The sequence below is a fragment of the Homo sapiens genome, chromosome 1 (assembly GCF_000001405.40).
Source record: "Homo sapiens chromosome 1, GRCh38.p14 Primary Assembly".
NCBI classification, from domain to species: domain Eukaryota; kingdom Metazoa; phylum Chordata; class Mammalia; order Primates; family Hominidae; genus Homo; species Homo sapiens.
Window position 1 is genome coordinate 242,583,498 of NC_000001.11, and position 3,979 is coordinate 242,587,476.

The 3,979-nt window shown below is 44.5% G+C and overlaps 2 annotated features.

Moving 5' to 3' along the window:
• Nucleotides 1,588-2,257: an enhancer, noted in NCBI's record as "NANOG-H3K27ac hESC enhancer chr1:242748387-242749056 (GRCh37/hg19 assembly coordinates)". NCBI's record gives its function as "activates a minimal SCP1, AML or CMV promoter by ChIP-STARR-seq in naive H9 embryonic stem cells {active_cell/tissue: H9 hESC(naive)}" and the evidence as "EXISTENCE:reporter gene assay evidence [ECO:0000049][PMID:30033119]".
• Nucleotides 2,258-2,927: an enhancer, noted in NCBI's record as "OCT4-NANOG-H3K27ac-H3K4me1 hESC enhancer chr1:242749057-242749726 (GRCh37/hg19 assembly coordinates)". NCBI's record gives its function as "activates a minimal SCP1, AML or CMV promoter by ChIP-STARR-seq in primed H9 embryonic stem cells {active_cell/tissue: H9 hESC(primed)}" and the evidence as "EXISTENCE:reporter gene assay evidence [ECO:0000049][PMID:30033119]".

The window sequence follows — 3,979 nt, forward strand, 5'->3', positions numbered from 1 at the left end:
AACATTTTATTGTTCTGGCACCATTTATTAAGGGGATTTATTTTCTCCCAACTGCTCTCTGATGCCACATTTGTCCTAAATCAAGTGTCAATATACTATAAGTGAACTTGTCCTTGAGCTTTCTACTCTGTTCTGTTATTTTATTTGCCTATCTCTACAACAATAGCGATTGGCCAACTTAGTTGCTATCTGATAGGACAATTCTCTCATACTGTTGTTCTTCATGTGTGTTTTGACTATTCTTCGCTCCGTATTTAACACTACACTTTCAAACTGACTGACCAAGATATAACAAGAAACTTATTGGGTAGTAATTGGGATTTTGTTGAATTTATAGATCAGTTGTGGATAACTGACATCTTTAAAATACTCAGTCTTTAATTCAGGAAGATGATCCATCTCTTGCTGTATTCAGATCATTTTAAATTTCCCTTAAAAATGTTTGTAGTTTTCTACATCAAAGTCTCTCCCAACTTTTTTGAAATTTATTCTTAGGCATATATTTTTGATATTACTAAAAATAGTATTTTTTAGTGTAAATTTTGGAATTGTTGATGGTACTAATATAATTAAATTTTTCATATTAACCATAAATCTACAAATCTTGTTAAACTTGCCCATCTAATAATTGATCAGTTTCTATTTTTTCTATGTAAACAATCATATCATTTGTGAATAATATCTGTAGTTAGTGAAACTTGAGGTTAAGGGCATAGTTCTCCAGACTGCCAAGTCTGCCCAAGACACCAAGTGCAAGTTCAGAGATTTTTCAAAACCAACCTCAGGTTTGAAAGTTGCTAGAAAGACTCTCAGAACTCACTGAAAGCTATGATACTGACAGTTATGGCTGTTAAGGGAAAGGATAAAAATTATAACCATCCAAAGGAAGAGACAGAGAAGGCAGGGTGTGAGAAGGTGTGGAGCTTCTGGCTGTCTTCCCCCTTTGGGTTCTCACATGGATGGCATTACCTCCTTCTGACCATATGTGACGATGTGCACAGAGTGCTGCCAACCAGGGAATCTAACCTGAGCTTCTGTGACCAGAAGTTATACTGGGGCTTCATTGCACAGGCGTGATCAATGGAATCATTGTCCATGTGGCTGAACTCAATCTCTAGCCACGTCTCCACAGAGGATAGGCTGATATGAATCATCTCATTAGTATATAAACTATAAAGTGAGGTCTGAGGGGCCCATCACAAATAACAAGGACATCCTTACCATTCAGGAAATTCCAAGTATTTAGAGGTTACCTACCTACCAGGAGGCGGGGCAAAGGCCAGACCTCTCTTTGGAAGACAAATTCCTTACTATACAATAATTTTTTTCTTTCTTCCCAACTTTATTCATATCTCTTTTACTCGATACATTGCACTGGACATGAACTTCAGTATATTGTAGAACAGTAGTGCTAATGGTGGGTACTAGTGTTTTGTTCCTGATATCAATGGGAATGTTTTCAACATTACCAATAAGGTTAATGTTTGGGATAAGTTTTTTGTAGATACACTTTATCAAATTAGGAGACAGTTTTTATATTCCTCCACTCCCCCTCCCTAACATGTGCAGGCACTTGGGGTCATTAGCAATCCAGAATTACTGTAGTCCAATTTTGGAGCTGAAATCATTCATGTCTGGGCTCCAGCCCATGGAAGTGAGGCAGGAAAATAGGGTCTGGAGGCCAGAAAATAGGCCGATTTACACTTCAGCTATAACAGGAAATATCCTCTCCATAGGGCATATGCCATAAATGACTTTGTAACTTTACTTCATCCTCTCCATTTACATAGGGTTACATACCCCATGTATGTACATACTCCATTTACATAGGGCTACATACCCCATTTACATAGGGCTCCATTTACATAGGGCTACATCCTCTCCATACATAGGGCTACATTCCACTGGTTACATACCAGAAGTAACCAATGGAATCATAGGGGGTAAACTCTCAAAAATTCTGTAATGGGGCCATGGAGCCCCTATGCTCAGGCCCGCTTCCACACTGTGGAGTGTACTTTCATTTTCAATAATACCCTTTATTATTGCTTCCTTTCTTTGTTTGTGTGTTACATCCAATTCTTTGTTCAGTATGCCAAGAACCTGGACGCCCTCCTCCACCGTTAACATACTTTGGCGAGCCAGCCAGGAGGAAGAGGTAAGCCCAAAGTTTGGGATTTATTCTTTTTTCTCCTTTTCCTTTCTGCTCCATACAGGGGAGTCTCTCTCTCTTTTTCTTTCCAACCCGGGACCCTTGGTGGGCGGCGCCTAAACATGGAAGCAACTGCTGGTTTCTGGCAGTGGCCAGTGAAACTAAGGGGGTTCCCTGTGGAGGAGCCTGACCACCACCGCCTGGTTTGCTTAAGGAACCTGGGTATTTTTCATGTTTTTTTTCCCCTCTCTTTTCAGTCTTTGAGCAGCTGTTTGCTAATAGCTCCTTGGAAATTGAGGGCAATTGGCTGGGATTACTCCCTGGTCCTACCTGAAGGGCTAGGAATGAACAGGAATAATTGTCCTGCCCTGAAGGGAGAAGGACTTTTTAAAAATCTTTTCTGGGGGTGGCCCCTGATCCCTATGTGAGGCACAGCTTAGAGCAAACTCACACATGTTTCAGGGGACTTAAACCTTCTTTTCTTATGCTAAATTCTTCCTTTATCATACTCAATTGGCTAAGGACAAAAAAGCCCACCAGGCATCCGCTTCACATTATAGTTCATGGTTATTTTTATAAAGCTCACAGTATTTTCTGGAGGGAAAAACCTGCATGTGGTGCCCACCTAAGGCCAGAGACATCAGGAACTCTAAGATTGGACCCCACAGGAGGACATTCCACGGGTTCTGCGAACCGCAACCACTCCAAAGAAGATGCTCTTGGCAGAGGTTCTGAAGTGTAGTATTAAGCCCTCCTTAGAATCATCTCTCACAGTTGCAATGCTGTTTGGCATTTGGCCCCAACATTGTTTGGAATCTGGAGTTCACTGTTGAATGGGAAAGTAGAATAGTGTTGCATGTATCCAGGCTTTTGTGCTGCAGTTCTAAGCAGGGGGCCTGGTTAACATGTGATGACCTCCTTTGGTATGGTTTGGCCCCAGTGTTCTTTGGAGTCTGGGGAGGTTTGGCCTTTAAAAAGCGAACTGCAGAGATTGCTGGCAAGATGGCCAAATAGGAAGAGCTCCCATCTGCAGCTCCCAGCGAGAGCGACGCAGAAGGTGGGTGATTTCTGCATTTCCAACTGAGGTACCTAGTTCATCTCACTGGGACTGGTTGGACAGTGGGTGCAGCCCATGGAGGGCAAGCCGAAGCAGGGAGGGGTGTTGCGCCACCCAGGAAGCTCAAGGGGTCAGGGAATCCCCTCCCCTAGCCAAGGGAAGCCGTGAGGGACTGTGCCGTGAAGAGCCATGCACTCCGGCCCGGATACTGTGCTTTTCCCATGGTCTTCACAACCCGCAGACCAGGAGATTCCCTCGGGTGCCTACACCACCAGGGCCCTGGGTTTCAAGCACAAAACTGGGCAGCCAGTTGGGCAGACACGGAGCTAGCTGCAGAAGTTTTTTTTTTTTTTTTCATACCCCAGTGGCGCCTGGAACACCAGCGAGACAGAACCGTTCACTCGCCTGGAAAGGCGGCTGAAGCCAGGGAGCCTAGTGGTCTGGCTCCGTGGGTACCACCACCACAGAGCCCAGCAAGGTAAGATCCACTGGCTTGAAATTCTCGCTGCCAGCACAGCAGTCCGAGGTCGAACTGGGATGCTCGAGCTTGGGTGAGGGGAGGGACATCTGCCATTACTGAGGCTTGAGTAGGTGGTTTTACCCTCACAGTGTAAACAAAGCTGCCAGGAAGTTCGAACTGGGTGGAGCCCACCACAGCTCAGCCAAGCCTCTGTGGCCAGACTGCCTCTCTAGATGCCTCGTCTCTGGGTAGCGCATCTCTGAAAAAATGGCAGCAGTCCCAGTTAGGGGCTTATGGATAATACCCCCAT